A 19,247-nucleotide genomic window follows, 5' to 3' on the forward strand; every position below is an offset into this window, starting at 1 on the left:
ATGAGTCCATGCTTAACACTGAACTTATGTCCTCTCGAATGCCAGTTGCTTCTCCAATTTAGGTGCACAGCAGTGATAACTACTGAGTTATCACAGGTAATTTGACTTAAGACCATGGAGTTCATTTAAATTGTATATTTAAACAATTTTAGTATTGGCTGGTTTAGCATGATAATCTAGAGCTTGATTTTGAAAAATCTGTTAAAATACCAAAGGTTTAAAACATTGGATATTACAAAATAGAATCTCACGTTACCATAAGTCATTCATTTCACCAAAATGATAAGTCAAAAATTTTCTAAAGGAAGAAACATTAGTCTGATACAGAGGAGACTCAGCTCTCCAAACAAGACCCAATGAAGATAGCATGAGGCCAACTGACTCTGTCTCCTTTCTTTCCCTTCCCCGCTTTTTCTTTTGTAGTTTACTTAAAAGGTAAATAAAAACCTTTCATTATTGTTTAATATTACATAAAAATCATTTTTAAAAGAGAAAACCAAATTTTATGTTTCCATTAGTGTATTTTTAATGTTAAAGCTAGTTTTTAATAACATTTTATAATCTATTCAGTTTTAATCAGTTTTACCGTAAGGTAAGATTTTTATAAACCTCTTATAACCCTTTACAATTTTTTTCTCTGAGTAGAACAATGTTCTAAGAAAACTCTGTTGTACTTTTATTCCAATGTGCAATTTATGGAAAAAACTGAATAACACCATTTTAACTTTAGCCAACATGTTCACACACAGAATCTCTTACAATTAATGTTCTATAAACCTTCCGTAACTTGTTCAAATCTTTAGCTTTATTTAACAATCCTTTAACCCTCTAACCTAGGCAAAAATTTACATTTCCATACCTTCTTATAATCCCTTACAAATAACACATTTCATTCTCTTTACACACCTTGCATGTAAACCTATTTTTTCAGTAGTCTCAACTACATATTACAATGTTAACTCTTAGCAACTTTTACTTTTGGTGAAAATCTTGGTAAGTATAGGATTTTAATTATGCACTAGGTGTGAAGCCTAGGACCCAGACAGAAATGCAGATAAGGTCTGACTCTTTCCAGCATCTAACTCCACATGTCCCAGGCCTTACCTAGCTGTAAAGCAGGCAAGCTGTACAGTTAAAAGTCATAGTAGCATTTTATGAAGCATTTAGGAGGCCTAATTACCTTTCAGTTGTATATTTCTGGCATAAATTCCATTTCATAAATTCTTTCATGACTTACACAGACCATGTATGACATGTTTAGACTTTCTGACTTGCCCTAAATTCAAACAACCAGTCATTTTACTTCGGGACAGGAATTTACCATACAACATCCTTTTTATATAAGATCTCTTTTCTTCATAACCTTCTTTGCATAGTTACTGGGTATGGTTAATTCCATATATCCCCAGACCTTATTTAGAATTTAAGGTCTCCAAAATAAATTGAACAATTTTCAAAAGTCAAAGCAGTTTATGACCTTAAAGCATTTAAAAAACCTAATATCTGCCCTGCATAATTTAGATAAAATGTCTTTATTTTATCAATAATCTTTAAAGCTGTTTTTATTTCCCAAAGGTTACTAAAGTTACATGAACTAAAGGCATTACAGTTTTTATTTTGCTTTCAAAATACTTGATTTAAGCACTTACTTTTAAGCCAATTAATTAGAGCTCTTTTATATAAACATTACACACAACACATATATAATTACACAGACAGACAGAAGAAGATTACTACAGTAGTTGTACGATTTTTCATTTGCCACATTTTAAGTTTCTTAATTGGTTATAGGCTTTATGGTGGAGTCCTTGGAAGAGCAGGGCCAGGAAAGGGGTCTGTAGTGCCTCCTGTTTTTCCCAAGGAGTCCAGGCTGTTGGAGCTTGAATATCCACTTTTAATTAAGCTGACTTTTTAACCATAGCACTCTTTAATAAAGTCCTTTTAAAACTTCTTATTATCCAATTTTAGCCAGGCCAAACGGCTGATATTTCTGGCTTCTGAACTTTACCAAAGGTAACCTCCCAGGTGCTCAGAGAAAGGAAAATTTAAAATAGTTGCTCAGAGAAAGGAAAATTTAAAATAGTCTGTGGAAGAGAAGAGAATAGACAAGGTCATGCAGATGTTAAACCAGAAAGGACTTACTTCCCAACCAGGGACTCCAACCCCAACCACCAGTGTGAAAGGGCAGAACCTTAGCTACCGAGCTACAGCGTGGGGTAGTCTCCACTGCTCTTCCCAGAAGGAATCTAGAGTAGTTAATTTTGAACTTGCAAAGGCTTTTAACTACTCAAGATAATTTTTAGAGCTAACTATGACATAAACCCTAAAATTCCTGTTCTCTGGAAGGCGGAGACCAAGAGAAAGTACTGCCACAAGCTTACAAGGTCAAGCTCCCAAGGACATAAAACAAGATGGAGACCCCATCCAGTTTTTTTTGTTTGTTTCAGGGACCTGCAGCAGTTTGTTATGGAACAGCTTGTTGGGCCATCCTGAGCACGAGTTTATGGGGTCCTAACCCCACGTTTTATCCTAAGGTACTCCGCGACACAGAAAAATGAATTCATCGCACAAAATACATCAGCTTAAGACTAGCCTCAGAATTCTTCTTTTGCATAATCAAAACTTTACAGAGGAGAAAAACAGTGATTTTTACCATTCATTCAACCATTCGCACAGAAAGAGAGAAGCCAGAAATCTGACTGGTAAGAAATTCTTGCCCTTTTGCCGGCATGCCAGGCTTCTGGGTTTCCTTTCCCTGAGGGGCCCCAGTGACCCAGCTTGCTGCACCATCACACTGGGGGCCAAGCTGCATCATAAAGGAAAAATGATCTTTTTTTGTTCTGGCCATAGCAAAATACGTGTGATAAAACACAGACATTAGCTACTCTGCTTAGCACCCAATATCAAACCAGCAAGGCTTACATTTGCCCTCAGATGGGCCCCTCATCTTTAACCCAACCTCCGACTAGAAATTTCAACACATGGTGTCTGGGTAAGATGGTCACCCTGAATAACAGAAAAGATAGGAAAGGAAAAGAAGAAAAGAGCAAGTATTGCCTATGGCAGGGTGCGGAAGGTGAAGAGCTCAGGGAGGCCAGAGCAAGACCCATTCGTTTCAGCAACACTGAAAAGTTCAGGTGGCCACTTGTTAGCAGCAAAGGGATCTTTTCCAGCAGTCCCATCAGCTCTCAAGTTTCCCCTTTTTTGGGTGGGAGGAAAAAGCTCCCCATGTCCCACGATCCTGTACATGCCTAATCCTGTCACCCACAGCCATCAGCAAAGAGTGCAAGGCAGATTATTCCAAACAGAAGAGCAGTTGACATCCCACAGTGCCAAACCCGTTCTTAGCCAAAAGGGACTTTACCAAGAGCCCTCATTTTTAAAAGTACTTCAATGCATTATTGTTCATTTGGAATGTTCCACTGCAAGTTATCTTTAGTAAGATTTTGCCATTTCTATAAGACTTCGCTGCCTCCCAGGCCTAATGCATAAGCCAGAAGGAACTCAGTTTTCCAGAAATTAAGGATCACATTTCTACCTAAAATATTGACTTTATTCAGGTTTTCCTGAATAACTTAGCCAATGATTTTTCCTAAGTGTGCAAGAAAAATGAAACAAAGAGGCAGAACACAATAATCCCTGTGAATTTCCAAAAGCCATATTTTATAATCCCTGCAATATTACTGCTTACTACCAGTTCCTTTATGACCCAGTCAGATATGAGAGTCCTCTAACTGGATCCAAGCCAGTTAATTCCCAGATCAAATCCATCCCTGGACCCAGTCCAGTTTCTGTTGCAACTCCAAACCCAGTTTGGATCAGAAATTTGCTCAAAGAAACTTGGAGAGCTTAAAACACAAATCCGTAGAGCTCCAAAATCCGAAAGGGAGCTTAGCACCCACGATCCCCAGCCACTCTGAGAGATCAATGGACACAAACGGGTCCTGCAGGTACCTTGCGTGTTCACTCAGCACTCCTGGGCGTCACCAGAAGCTCCACTTCGGATCCCACTTCTGACATCATCTGATAAAAGAAAAACTTCAGTCAAATTAAATTTAAAGGAGTTTAATTGAGCAATGAATGATTTGTGAATCAGGCAGCCCCCAGAATCACAGCAGACCCACAGAGACTCCATGGGTAGCTTGTGGTCAGAACAAATTTATAGACAAAAAAGGTAAAGTGACGTACAGGAATCAGAAGTGAGGTACAGAAACAGTGAGATTGATTACAGCTCAGCATTTGCCTTATTTGAATGGAGTTTGAAGATTCAGCAGTCAATGAGTGGTTAAATTATGGCTGCTGGGATTGGCCAACACTCAGCTATTATTACAGACGCATACTACTAAGTTAGGTTTTTGTCTGACTATTAAACTAGGTTACAGTTCATCCAAAAGGACTCAAATATAGAAGTACAGAGTCCTTCTCAGACCATATTTAGTTTGCTTTAACAACTATAAATGGATTTCACCAAAAGATTGACAGTAACTAAATCTGGGCAGTAAGATACTGAGTAACTTGAAATTAGCTTTTTTTCTCTTTTTGCTTTTCCATATTTTCCAATTTTTCTGCAAAGAATGTGGATTGCTTATAAAACAAACACACACAAATAGCTAAGAATTTAAAATAAGAAAATTTAAAAGTAAAATTAGCTATCATTCATTTGAATACCTACCACGTGCCAGGAACTGCAAAGCACTTTCCACACATTCCCTCTCTCATTTAATCCTCACAATTTATGTAAGAGGCACTATTATTATTCCTACTTTAAAGATGAAGAGATGAAGCTTGGGGCCATATGATGGGGACTGACTTTGGAATGCAATTACATATGCATGCATGCATGCACAGAACCAGCTACCCTCATAAATACATAAAGACTCAGCTGAGCTGGCTGGCTCAGATGGCAACTATGTGAGACTCAAAACCCAGATATGACCACCCACCCCAGCCCCATATGTCCTAATAATTCTCTCCTCGATAACTAGCCACATGGTAGACTAAAAAGACTTGGCCACAAGGTTTTGGAGCTCCTTCTTTCAAGAGGTATATTCCCCATTCCTCAAATCTGAGTTGGCCTTGAGACTTGCTTTGACTGACAGAATAGGGCAGAAATGACATTGCATAAGTTGCAGAGGACTTGCAGATTTCACTCTCATATTCTCAGAACCCCTGTCCAAGACCACCATGGTGTAAACAAGCCTAAAATGAAATACCACATGGAGAGAGGCCTAGACATTCCTGTTATAACAAACGAACCCAGCCTCCAGCCAACAACCTTCCAAATGAATTAACCCATATAAGTGAGCCCAGACAAAATTAGCAGAAAAACTACCCAGAAAACCCATAAAATAGTGAAAAGTAATATACTGTTGTTAATTAAGCCACTAAGTTGTGGGATTATTTGTTATAGAGCAATAGCTAACTGATACAACTTCAATTTACAAAGTGAAAGAAGATCTCAAGTCATTGAGGTGCCTATGCTGGGCCAATGCTACGAAGAAATATTAAAGTTATTCAATGTGGTACAAGCCCTTTCATTGAGGTTATTATTATTATTATTATTTTGAGATGGAGTCTCACTCTGTCACACAGGCTGGAGTGCAGTGGTGCCATCTTGGCTCACTGCAAACTCGCCTCCCAGGTTCAAACAATTTTCATGCCTCAGCCTCCTGAATAGCTGGGATTACAGGTGTGCACCACCACACCCAACTAATTTTTGTATTTTTAGTAGGGACAGGGTTTCACCATGTTGGCCAGGCTGATCTTGAACTCCCAACCTCAAGTGATCCACCTGCCTTGGCCTTCCAAAGTGCTGGGGTTACAGGCATGAGCCACCACACCCAGCCCAGTGAGGTTATCTTGTATCTCCTCTCCTAGTTCACAGATCAAGCCCAAATTCCATGGTCAGAGAGTGATTATAGGTCTCACACTCCCTTCCAAATGGACCAAAGGTTTCTTCTTTTCAAAACACAACTATGTGCAACTGAACAGATACTGATGAGACAGTGCAGAAGATTACGCAAAAAAAAGAATGTCAAGAGAGTTTTTTTCTATATAAAAGAAAAGAATTGTTTGCATAGGAAAACGTGTGCTGAAACCAATTAATTTTTTTCCTTTGCTTTTAAAAACACATTAGGATTTTCTTCCAAGCTTTACTGACTCATAAAACATATTAACTGTGGCAGGCTGAGTTTCAATTAAAGACAGAAGGCAAGGGTCATTTACCTACAACTAAATGCTTCTTCAATAATAATAGACTCGTGAGCAACGGAACTTGCTGCAAGGAGAATATGACAATTTGTTCCCGTAGCTGTCACTTTTATTCAGACTCAAATGGCTCCACACTAGAAAATCATATTAGCTCAAAGCATGATATGGAACCCACTATACCAAGAGATGTTTCTTGCATATAGGTCATTCCTTAACAACATTCGCAACCACAATGGCAGGGGGAAAAAATACGCTAGCTTCTTGACAGAATGACTTAGCATATTTTAGTTTTATAAAAACCAGAATATTATCACAGATTAATCAAATTATTAAATTAAAATTATAGTCTACTTTTTAAAGCTTGTTATTACTCTCGGAAAGGAAGAATGCAAACAATAATAAAGCCATCAGACTCACTGGTATAAAGCTATGTAACTTGTTAAAAGCAACTACACCCAAAAAATACTGTAGTGGTGTTTAGGGTTGGATGACAAGAATTCTTTTCAAGAGAAAGTATCTCACAGGAAAAATAATTCAGATGATATCTTAGGGCTCCTTCACAGCAGGTCACTTTGCATTCCCTACTCCCTTTTAAATGCTATCAACATTACACCCACTCAGCCTTTCCTTCCTCTCCATTTCTCATATTTCTTGGTCTGTTCCCTTTGTTGATTTCAATCGCTTGGCCCCTTCTAATTCCTCCTTGTCTTGAACCTTACTCCGCTCCTTTCTGCCTTACCTGATACACAAAAAGCAAAATTGTTCCTCACATAACAGTCCTGCATTTCTCCGGTGGTGGCACAAAGAAACAATTATTTCTTCAGACAGGGTTGGGTTACCTAGCAATTTCCCATGTCTTTCTTTTCTCAAAGATTTCTCTCTTTCCCTTTCTTTCTTTCTCCCAGTCTCTCTCCCTCTCTCTCTGTAAGCATCTGATCTGCGATAAAAGAATGAGGGTACAATTTGGTAGACTTAATCATAGGCAATTTTTAAACATTTCCCTAGAGTGGTACTAGACATAACTTCTAACATATACAAGTGAAAATTAAATTCAAATCAACAATTACTGAGAGTCTCCCACCTGCTATGCCTCATGCTGGGGATAGAGGTCAACATAAGACTTGGGCTCTGCCATCAAGAAGAAAACATGGCAGAAATGGTAAAGAAATGCAAGGAATAGCAATCACCTCATAAACACCCCTTTAGCATCACCAACTGCAAAGAAATTCTCAGGATACTGAGCCTCTGTTTCCTCATATTTTAATATTTTAATATTAATATTAATATCATTTAACATGATATTAACAATAATACTTCACAGGATGATTGCTGTAAGAGTCAAACTAGAATGTGTGTGTGAATGTTGATTTATTTTGTTTTTGCAACTTCCTATGAATATATAATTATTTCAAAATAAAGTTTTTTTAAAAAAATTTAAACAAGAATGTGATTGAACGTATCTTGCAACTGTGTAATTCAATTTCAATGGTATTCAATCATCATTTATTCAGCCAGGTCCTGTGCTAGAGAGATTGGAAATAAACAGGAAATCCATGATTCCTGAAACTAGAGCACCCAAGGGCTGAGGCAGTAGAGAGACACACGAAAAATATAATACAATGTGATATGTGTTGTACTAGATATACAGAAAATGTATCCAATCTTAGATAAGAGATTAACTAATCCAACCAGGGTATGGAGGGAGGGAAAGAAGGAAAGAAACATCAATGGATACTATGGAAACAGAGTGGGTAATAACATGAGTAATCATCTCTCATTAAGGCCCTTTATGTACTAGTCACTATATTAGGCACTTTGCAGATAATATTCTCATAAACAAAGACAAGATGGAGGGTCCCCCTTCTTGAAAACATCCCACTCCATTAGTTTACAGAGTTTGGCCTTGGTGACTGCCAGGTCTAATGGCCTCAGGAGACTGACAGTCAACTACCCAAATGGAAAGAAAAAAGCACTGAACCAAAAGTGAAAAGTGATAGGATGAGAAATCGTGCTCTGCTACTACGTGGCTCTAGGAATGTCCCTTAGCCCTCTGGTTCTTAGATTCCTCATCTGCAAAATGGGGATTTAATACCAGCTGACCATGCAAGGTTGTTGGGATAACGGGTGTGGAAAAGGCTTTGAAATCTGTCCAGTGTCTTCAGGGTAAGAGCCAGGCTGGAAATGTACCTGCCTACAGGGGCCAGGGAGGTAACAAAACTGAGCAAAGCAGGCCTATGGGAACTCTGCCAATTGTATCAGTTAGCTATTCTTGCATAACAAATCATCCCACAACTTAGTGGCTTACATTAACAATGTATATTACTTTTCACTATTTTGTGGGTTTTCTCAGCAGTTTTTCTGCTGGTTTTGCCTGGGCTCACTCATATGGTCCCATTGATTTGAAAGATTGCCTGGGGGCTGGGCTCATTTGGGATAGCAGGGCCGCTAGTACTTGTTGCTAATGTTGAATGTTGCCATGTAGGAAATTGGGCTCCTTGTTGCCAGCCTATTTTTCTTGAAAAGTCAAAAGATTTGTACGTGTGAGTGAATTTATATGTGTGTATAAATCTTTGATTTTGAAATATTAACTAATTTTTTTAAATGGAAAACATCATGTGACTCTACAAAACATATCTATGGACTAGGAGATTTGGGGCTTGGGCCATCAATTAGTAACCTCCAAGTAATGTTTCCAGCTGGTCCTTACTTTTCTGTCCATTCTATTAGGTTTTCCTCAATCACAGGGAGCCATATCAGGCTCATTTGGGCTCTCTTCCTTAGTCCTGGTCCTTTTGGACAGTAGTTCTCAAAGTGAGGTTCCCCACACCAGTAGCATCAGCATCACCTCTGAATTTGTTAGAAATGCACATTATTGAGCCCCACCCCAGACCTACTGATTCTTATACTCTGTGGATGAAACTCAGGTATCGGGAAGACTTCACACTGGTTCTCAATCCTAGCTATGCACTGAAATCACCTGGAGAAGTTTATAAAATATCAATGCCAAGGTACCAGCCACAGAGATTAAGATTTAAATGGTCTGGGATGCAGCCTGGACTTTAGGATTTTTCTTCGTTTTCTTATTATTATTTTTTTTAGTCAGTCTCTTGCTTATCCAGCCTTTAGAATTTTTAAATGACTCTAATTTGCAGCCATGGGACTTCACTTGGACCTTGAAACTAGGGGAAAAAAGAAGATGGTTGAGACTCTACCTATCTCTGGGGAAAAACACTGGGGAATTAGAACATTAGGAAATAAACTCACTTTTTTCTCTATTCATTTGTAACGGAGGCTTCCCCTAGGTCTTCCTTCCTTGAACTTCAAATATACCAGTATTTTGGTCATCCCCACAAAGCACAGTGCACAGGAATGAATGTAATTCAATGCTTTTCAGAACTTGTCTTTTGGAAGCCCTCTCCCCCTCCCCCTCCCTCTCTTCTCTCTCCCTCTCCCTCTCGAGTCTCATTCTGTAACCCAGACTATAGTTCAGTGGTGTGATCATAGCTCACTGTAACCTCAAACTCCTGGAGAGAAGGATCCTCCTTCCTCAGCCTCCTGAGTAGCTGGGACTATATGCACACACCACTGTGCCTGATTAAATTTTTATTTTTTGTAGAGATGGGGTCTTGCTATATTGCACAGGTTGGTCTCAAACTCCTGGCCTCAAGTCATCATCCCACCTCAGACTCTCAAGTTGTTAGGATTACAGGCATGAGACACCATGCCTGGCTGAAGTTTATTTTCTAATTTTAAAGAAATGTTGTTGGGAGAGGGAAGGAGAAAAAGAGAGCACGATGGGTAGAATGTGAATATATAAGAAAAGGGAGGGCCACATTCTGAACAAAAGAAACAACTTGAGCAAAGCCTGGAGGTGAATTCTGCAAGGGGTATTTAGAGAGTGAGGAGACCATCTTAGCTGGGGCAGAAGATATGTGTTGAGAAATGGAAGTAAATAAACTCAGATAGGTGGAATAAGAGTCTTACTTTAAACAGCCTTGAAGAAGACAACAGAGAGTATGTTAGAGTTCTCCAGAGAAACAGAACCAATAAAATGGAGATATATCTATACATGAATGGGCTCATGTAATTATAGAGGCTGCCAATTTCTCTCTCTCTCTTTTATTTTTTAATATAGATGGAGTCTCACTATGTTGCCTAGGCTGGTCTCGAACTCCTGGCCTCAAGCAATCCTCCCACCTTTCACTCCCAAGGTGCTAGGATTACAGGCATGAGTCTGGCTGGCTGACAATTTCTAAGATCTGCAAGGTAAACTGGCAAGCTGGAGACCCAGGTGAGCCCTTGCAAAAAGGCAGGAAAAAGCTGATGTCCCAGTTCAAAGTCAGTCAGGCAGGCAAAGTTACTCTTAGCCTTTGTGTTCTACTCAGGCCTTCAACTGGTTTTATGAGGCCCACCCACATGAAAAGAGCAACATGCTTTACTCAGTCTACCAATTTAAATGCTAATATCATCTGAAAAATACCTTCACAAAAACACCCAGAATAATGTTTGACCAAATATCTGGGTAACCATGGCCTAGTCAATTTGACACACAAAATTTATCATCACAGGAAATATGGACTTATTATCTGTGGACTAGCATTTCCCAAATGCTATGATTCAAATGTCCCCTCCAAAAGTCATGTTGAAATTTAATTGCCATTTTGATGAGATTAAGAGGTAGGATGATAAACAGGTGATTAGAGAATCCCTCATGAATAGATTAATGCTGTTACTACTGGATTGGGTTCCTGATAAAAAAGGATAAGTTTGGCCCAATTTTCTCTCTGTGTCTTGCAGGCTTGCTTACCATTCCCCCTTCTGCCATGGGATAATGCAACAGGAAGGCCCTCACCAGATGCCAGTGCCATGCTCTTGGACTTTCCAGCCTCAAGAACTGTTGAGTCAAATAAATTTCAATTATTTACAAGTTACCCAGTTTGTGGTATTCTGTTACAGCAACCCAAAATAGACTAAGACACAAAATGTAGTTTATGAAGACCTAGGCCAATTAAATACTCCACCAAAAGAGGCTCTGTGAAAATACATGTCTTGGAAAACAATACATACTAAGGCATATTAACACATCAAAGTTATGAATCATCCTGCAGGAAAGAAATGGTTTATAATTTTGTCAATTCTGGCATTTGATTACAATGCCAGTTTTTACTTAACACCTATTAATCTCCCATGGAACTAAAGTTTCACATAACATACTTTGGGAAAAGCTACTCTAAGCCAGTAGAAGATAATATGGATTTGGAATGTGGAAAGGGACATGAAAACAGGATTTTAGTAAGATAAATTTGAAGTCGTGTGCAGTGATATTAAAGCAGAAACAGCCTAGAAGCTAGAGCCCTGCTAGGAAGCTACTTTAGCAATCCAGGTCTGAAGTGATAGAGGCTTGCACTTGGGGGGGAATGGGGCAGAAAAGGAAGATAATGAGCCATTTTATGGAAAAGTGCTTGCATATATAGATTCTAAATAAAAAAAGAGTAGTAGAAACCTCCACAGTTTGGAGCTTGGTAGGTGAAAGACTAAATAGCCACCAAAGGAAAGGCTGGTTCAGGGGCAAAATGTGATGTGTTCAGTTATTGATATGTTCGGTTTAGAATCATGGTAGAAAGAGGTCTGTAAGAAATATCTAGCCAATTTTGGAATTATGAGGCTTGTGTGAAGGATGTCAAAATTATAGATGAATTTGGAAATCACCAGCATTGGGATGGAAACTAAGTCATAGGATTAAACTCTTACTCTCCTTCCCATTTCCCTCAGCCAGACCAATCCCTTCTCTTTGCAAGTGGCTTCATTTTCAGAGGCATGCTTCCTCAATCAGCCTCAGGTCTTCTTGATAAGCCTCACAAAGAAGCACTTTTAATTATAGTCATTCCTGAATGCAGCTCTGCACTGAATAGTGTTAACCATGCACCATCAGCAAGAAGTTAACGAAAATAAGCCCTGGAAGGAGTTCCTTAGATATACAAGGAAAATTAACTTTGGAATGTTACCACATTTACAGAACACAAGTCAACTGTAGACAGAAATATTCTGCTCTCATTACATGCCAAACCAATGGCACGTACCCTCTACTGCAGAGCCTCAATATTATACAATCCCAAAGCTGAAGGTATCCATACACAGTAGGTTTTAGACAAATTTCATAAGCTAAAAAACGTGCATTCTTCTGGAAGCTAGTACTTACGAAAATATGTTTGTGCACTGTCAATCAATTCTGCAGGGACTTACAAAGAGTCTTCGTGTACTTAGCCCTGAAATGACCCATGGTCTTTTCCCTTCTCCACACTGGACCTCTGGAGTTGCACAGTCCCATATTTGAATCCTGTCAGCCCTATGGGCCATATGATTATGATTCTGAACCGGTTACTTAACTGCCCTGGGCCTTGGTTTTCTCACCTACAAAAATGTGATAAAAAATACCTTATTCATTTGTTTATGCATTCATACATACCTTCATTCAGCAAATACTGTTCAGCTCCCACTTACGACTATACCAAGTCTTGAGCACTCTCACAGTGGCAAAAGAAGCAGGCATGGTCCCTAAAGGCAGGGAGCTTAAATCTTACTGGGTTTTTAAAAAAATCAAATGATGTATGCAAATTACAAGGTACAGTGGTTCATGCATAAAAGGGACTCAATAAACACTAGTTCCTTTCTTTCCTATAGATCAGAGGACACAAACTCAAGTGCCTATGGTGGCCAACATAAACATGTGCAGCAGTGGCAATGTGATATGTGACTGTGGCAATGTGATATGGAGAGCTCACGACTTCATTAAAGGGTAGAGACCCAGTCAGCATCGGCTGATTGTTTCCAGAAGGGGATGCAGATTAAGTGTTCTCCCAGTCTTTAAAGAGAAGCAGGAAATATCCCTATATTTAAATGTTGACAACTAATTTCAAACCCTGGGTGGGCCAAATAAAATACACCTAACCTAGGGGCTGCCAGTTTGCAACCTCTATACAAGCTAACCCCAAGAAGGCAAGGCACTTGGATAACTCCCAGTTTTCAGTACTCTCTGGGGCATGATGCAGGAAGGCTAATGGACCCTCAGGTAAAATCCTTATTTCACTCCAGCTTGGTCTCAATCAATCAGCATAACTCTCTTCATGCTCTGCTGAAACAGGAACCTGGAGTGACAGGATCATTATCACCAGAGGAAAGAAAAATCTCACCATGGGTCATCAGCTTGCATTATAGAAATGAATATAGGGCTAGACAGGAGGAAACAATGAAAAGGGACCCCAACAGAGAGGAGTGAAGCACAAGCAGTTCAGGCACCAAATTGTGCTGATTGGATTTAAAGGTATCTACCACAGGGACGATCACAAATACACCAGAAAGATTCTGCCAGCACTTTCAGGTGATATTTCCCAAGGTGATATTCACTGCTTCTACTGCTTCCTTTGTCTCTGACTCATTCTTTCCAGTTCAATCTATTTTGTTTATAGATTTAATATCTGGCACTATTCCTCCAAAGAGCTCATGATTTCCCTCTGTGCTCTCTTCCCCCTCCTGCTTCAGAGCAGGCCAGATGGAAAACTAAATAATAAACAGTGACAGATGTAAAAAGATTTGTATTACTTTGGTTTAAGGCCCCAAATGAAGCTTCTCCAATAGACTACTAGAATGGAGCTGCCTCACCCCTTCCAGAAGAGTCTAAGCATTATTAACTCTGACATTCACCTGGCTTTATAAACCCCAGTAATTATAATTGTGCTAGAGACTCACATGCCCTCCTTTAATGTGTTTCTCTTGTCCAGCCATAGAAGGGTAACAGGATTCCATGAGTCAGAGATGACCCTGATAGACCTGAGTCATCCCAGAAGTCCATCATATGCTCTGGGAAAACCAACATCCAGTAGTTTTTTTACTTGCTGGGAAGATCTAGAAACAATAAAATGAGTACCCAGCCCCATTTCTTGATGTGTACAAGAGCCCTGTGGAAGAGATGTTGGACTCTGCCCACAATTGAGATATACAACCCTGTATGACGGACTGGGAGTTGCTCTAAGAAAAGGCTAGACTATTAGAAGAGACAATGGGGCCACTAAAAGAAAATCACCGTGAATGAAGGAGTCTGGCATCCTGGGCTGCTATAACGAAATGCCATAGACTAAGTAATTTAAGCAACAGAAATTTATTTTCTCACAATTCTAGAGGCTGGAAGTCCAAGATCAAGGAGCCAGTATGGCTGGGTTTTGGTGAGGGCCTTCTTCCTGTCTCGCAGAAAGTGTCCTCACATAACAGATTGAGACAGAAAGAGAGAATGGGAATCTTCCTCTTCTTATAAAGCCAGAGTCCTATGTGATTAGGACACCACTCTTAATACCTCATATAACCCTAATTACTTCCTAAACACCCTCGCTCCAGATAGAGTCACATAGCAGGTTAGGGCTTCGGCATATTAATTTGAGGAGGGGAGAGGAACACAATTCAGTCCATAGCAGTGGGCTAGAGAGAGCAGCACGATGTGGACACTGAAGGTTCCTAGAACAGTTGCCTGATTATCCCCCAGTCCAGTAGGATTTTCTTCCCTACCCTCCACACTCAAGTGCTCCTTTGCTCTGGGAAAGAGATGCTTAAAGCACGAAGAAAAGAATGTGTCCCTAGGGCTCAAGAGCTCAGCTATAGGAGCCTCCCCTGAAATAAATACCCAGGAGAAGGAAAATATTTCCCAGCTGCTTACAGCTGTGGAAGAATACTGGAGATCAGTATTCTGGGGGGAAAGTGTTGGGAGAAGAGGTCAGCAGCAACACAGGCTGTGCTGTGGTCCCTACCTGAGCAGGGTGCAGGTCAGCACCCAAAGGAGGCTGGCAGACAACTTGGTCAACTACTTGGGCCACTGATTGCTACATTTGTTTGTTTGTTTGTTTGCGTTATAGAGATGGGGCTTCACCATGTTGGCCAGGCTGGTCTTGAACTCCTGACCTCAAGCAATCCACCCACCTCGGCCTCCCAAAGTGTTGAGATTACAGGTGTGAGCCACCGCACCGGGCCTGGGCCACTGATTTCTAGACTGACTAGGCTTTCTGGTAGACATGGATTGAAGTATGGCTGTAAATGTCACATTTGTCTTCACCAGTCGGTAAGGCCAAGAGACATTTGTGCTACCGGCGTTCTCCTAACACCCTACAGATCACTGACTCATAGAATCATCTTATCCCAAACTGCTTGAGAATCTAGATACAGGCTTTACTAACACTTTGCTAACAACAGTAACTTTTGCCGAAGTTTCAATTAAAAGTCAAATAGGAAAGCTAAAAATCAGGCCGGGGGTGATGGCTCACACCTGTAATCCCAGCACTTCGGGAAGCCGAGGCAGGCGAATCACCTGAGGCCAGGAGTTGGAGACGAGTCTGGCCAACATGGCAAAACCCCATCTCTACTAAAAATACAAAAATTACCTGGGCGTGGTGGCGCATGCCTATAGTCCCAGCTAATCGGGAGGCTGAGGCAGAAGAATCGCTTGAACCCGGGAGGCAGAGGTTGCAGTGAGCTGAGATTGCGCCACTGTACTCCAGCCTGGGAGACAAATCAAGACTCCATCTCAAAAAAAAAAAAAGGAAAGCAAAAAATCATTTTGATTGTATTTCATGAGAATCAAAATGACTTTCACGGGAATCTGAGCTTGGTGGTACTCTACATACATGGCTGCAAATAGCCTGCACCTTGCCAAGTGTCACCGGAACTTTTCAGTACTTATATTTCTTGACTTCTCTGGCAGCTGCCATTGTTGACAATTTCTTCCCTGATATTCTCTCTTCCTTTGACTTCTTCCTCTGGTCTCTCTGACCATCTTGTTATACCATGGGTGGGCCTGATGCCAGTGAAGAGGTAGTAAGAAAAGAAAACACATCAACATGTGCCTATGGCACAGCAAGGAATAAAGTGGCCTTCAGTGCCTTTACTTAGACTCTTGAGGGCTTTCCCTACCTGAAAAACAGTGAATTGAAGATCAGATTTGAGAATGGCTTCACTCACCCTTGAACTTTGGTTACAACTCCATGAGGAGGCAGAAGAACCTCCAGAGTGTACTCATTCGCTTTTATTATTCTCATTTCCTGTGCCTGTTCTGATTACTTGCAGGTTTCACAGAAAGCTGAAATGAAAGCAACCTCGAACTTGTCCAACTGGTCATTCTTGCCAGGCTTTCAACCCAGACTAGCCCATTCTGGGCTGTCCGGGCCCACCATGCCTCTTCGATCTTCTCACTGGACTCCTTGTCCCCTGGCATCCCCTGCTCAGCTCTTAGTACATCTCCCACAAGCCCTTCAAACTGCACACATGCAAAATTAAATTTATTGTCTTCTTCCACAGTCTGATCCTCCTCTCATATTCTCCTTTTTGCTCAACTGTATGTCCATTAACGTAGCTAAACAAGCTGGAAAGCCAAAACCCCAAGTTTCTTCAAATGCGTATTTGAAGATACTTTAAGGATATGGAAGAATCATGCTGGCTCTTTGAAAGACCAATTTTATTATTGACTTGAAGGTGTGGTATGTGTTTATAGTCCTCGTAGGGCTGTTGAATATGTCTTAAATCAGCTTTTCCTTCTCCATCCACACCATGACCTTGGTTCTTACTTACATTGCCTTTTTCCCGAACTACTACAACAATCTCTCATCCAGTCTCTCTCATTCACATTCTCATAAATGCTGCCAAAGTAATCTTTTGTTTCAAGTATTTGTAAATACTTTTTTCTTTTTTATAGAAGTCATATATGTTTATTGTAGACATTTCAGAAAAATCCTTAATAGTACAAAAACACAATTACTAGTAGCATTGTATTATATATACTTCTAGCCATTTTCTATGAATAGGCATACATCTTTATATTAAAAAGATTATATTATGCATACTCTTATATGCTCTACTTTTAAATTTTTTGAGACAGGGTCTTTCTCTGTCACCCAGGCTAGAGTGCAGACACACAATAATGGCTCACTGCAGCCTTGACCTCCCAGTCTCAAGCTATCCTCCGACCTCAGCATCCCGAGGAGCAGGACTACAGCGCACAGTATCATGCCCAGCTAATTTTTGTATTTTTTGTAGGGACAGGGTTTTGCCATGTTGCCCAGGCTGGCCTCGAACTTCTAATCTGCCTAAAGTTCTAGGATTACAGGCATGAGCCACCACACACAGCCTGCCCTACTTTTAAAAATTATAATTAAAAATTAGTCTTGGGAACAATTTTTCTGTATCAGTAACACTCATTATCATTTTTATAATGAAAATAGCGTGGGCACGGTGTCTCACACCTGTAATCCCAGCACTTTGGGAGGCCAAGACGGGCAGATCACCTGAGGTCAGGAGTTGGAGACCAGCCTGGCCAACGTGGTGAAAGCCGATCTCTACTAAAAATACAAAAATTGGCTGGGCACGGTGGCTCACGCCTGTAATCCCAGAACTTTGGGAGGCCGAGGCGGGCGGATCACCTGAGGTCAGAAGTTGGAGATCAGCCTGGCCAACATGGTGAAAATCCGTCTCTACTAAAAATACAAAAATTAGCTGGGCATTGTGGTGGGTGCCTGTAATTCCAGCTATTCAGGAGGCTGAGGCAGGAGAATCGCTTGAACCTGGGAGGCAGAGGTTGCAATGAGCTGAGATCGTGCCACCGGACTCTAGCCTGGGCAACAGAGACTCCGTCTCAAAAAAAACCAAAAATAAAAACAATACAAAAATTAGCCAGGTGTGACGGCAGGCACCTATAATCCCCAGTTACTCAGAAGACTGAGGCAGGAGAATTGCTTGGAGCCGGGAGGCGGAGGTTGCAGTGAGCCGAGATCACACCACTGCACTCCAGCCTAGGTGACAAAGTCAGACTCCGTCTCAAAAACAAAAAACAAAAAAAAAGAAAGAAAGAAAACAGGAGATTTTATCCAATGGAAATAGCATCATTTGTTTAACCAACCCCCTACTACCTTTCTATATTTCCTAATATTAAAAAAATATTGGCCAAGCGTGGTGGCTCATGCCTGTAATCCCAGCACTTTGGGAGGCCTAGGCGGGTGGATCACGAGGTCAGGAAATCAAGACCATCCTGGCCAACATGGTGAAAAACCCTGTCTCTACTAAAAATACAAAAATTAGCTGGGTGTGGTGGCGTGCGCCTGTAGTCCCAGCTACTCAGGAGGCTGAGGCAGGAGAATCACTTGAACCTGGGAGACAGAGGTTGCAGTGAGCTGAGATTGCACCACTGCACTCCAGCCTGGTGACAGAGCGAGACTCCGTCTCAAAAAAAAAAAGCCAAGGAGGCTACATATTTAAGACTCTAAACCTGTTGCCAAATACTCTCCCAGAAAGGTCTTATCCAATACTTCTACCAGTAGAATGATCATTTTAATGTACAAGCCAGATTGTGACTCAAAGACTGGGAGAACTGTTGCAGGTTCAAGAACAGAAAAGCAGGCCAGGCATGATGGCTCACACATGTAATCTCAGCAATTCGGGAGGCCCAGGCAGGAAAATTGCCTGAGGCCAGGAGTTTGAGACCAGCCTGGACAAAACAGGGAGACACCTGTCCCTGCAAAAATAAAAATAAACAGCCAGGGGTGGTAGTCCCAGCTACTCTGGAGGCTGAGGTGAGGGTATTGCTTGAGCCCACCAGGAAGTGAAGGCTACAGTGAGCCATAAACACACCACTGCACTCCAGCCTGGGTAACAGAGCAAGACCCCATCTCAAAAAAAAAAGAAAAAAGAGGCCAGGTGCGGTGGCTAACGCTTGTAATCCTAGCACTTTGGGAGGCCGAGGAAGGTGGATCACTTGAGGCCAGGAGTTTAAAACCAGCCATAGCCAACATGGTGAAACCCCGTCTCTACTAAAAATGCAAAAAAATTAGCCGGGCATGGTGGCAGGCACCTGTAATCCCAGCTACCTGGGAGGCTGAGGCAGGAGAATCACTTGAACACGGGAGATGGAGGTTGCAGTAAGCCAACATTGCACCACTGCACTCCAGCCTGGGTGACAGAGCAAGACTCCAACTCAAAAAAAAAAAAAAAAAAAGAAAAGAAAAAAGAAA

General features: G+C 41.0%; 1 protein-coding gene across 1 annotated transcript in view; it reads right to left on the bottom strand.

Moving 5' to 3' along the window:
• The window catches only part of SRGAP3 (SLIT-ROBO Rho GTPase activating protein 3), a 382,437-nt gene that overhangs the window by 345,983 nt on the left and 17,207 nt on the right, over positions 1 to 19,247 (bottom strand). Inside the window, exon 2 of the mRNA XM_024453843.2 lies at positions 3,955 to 4,023. The gene's annotated coding sequence lies outside the window, so the exon portion shown is untranslated. The remainder of the gene's footprint in view (positions 1 to 3,954; positions 4,024 to 19,247) is intronic.

Source organism: Homo sapiens, chromosome 3 (assembly GCF_000001405.40).
Source record: "Homo sapiens chromosome 3, GRCh38.p14 Primary Assembly".
Classification (NCBI taxonomy): domain Eukaryota; kingdom Metazoa; phylum Chordata; class Mammalia; order Primates; family Hominidae; genus Homo; species Homo sapiens.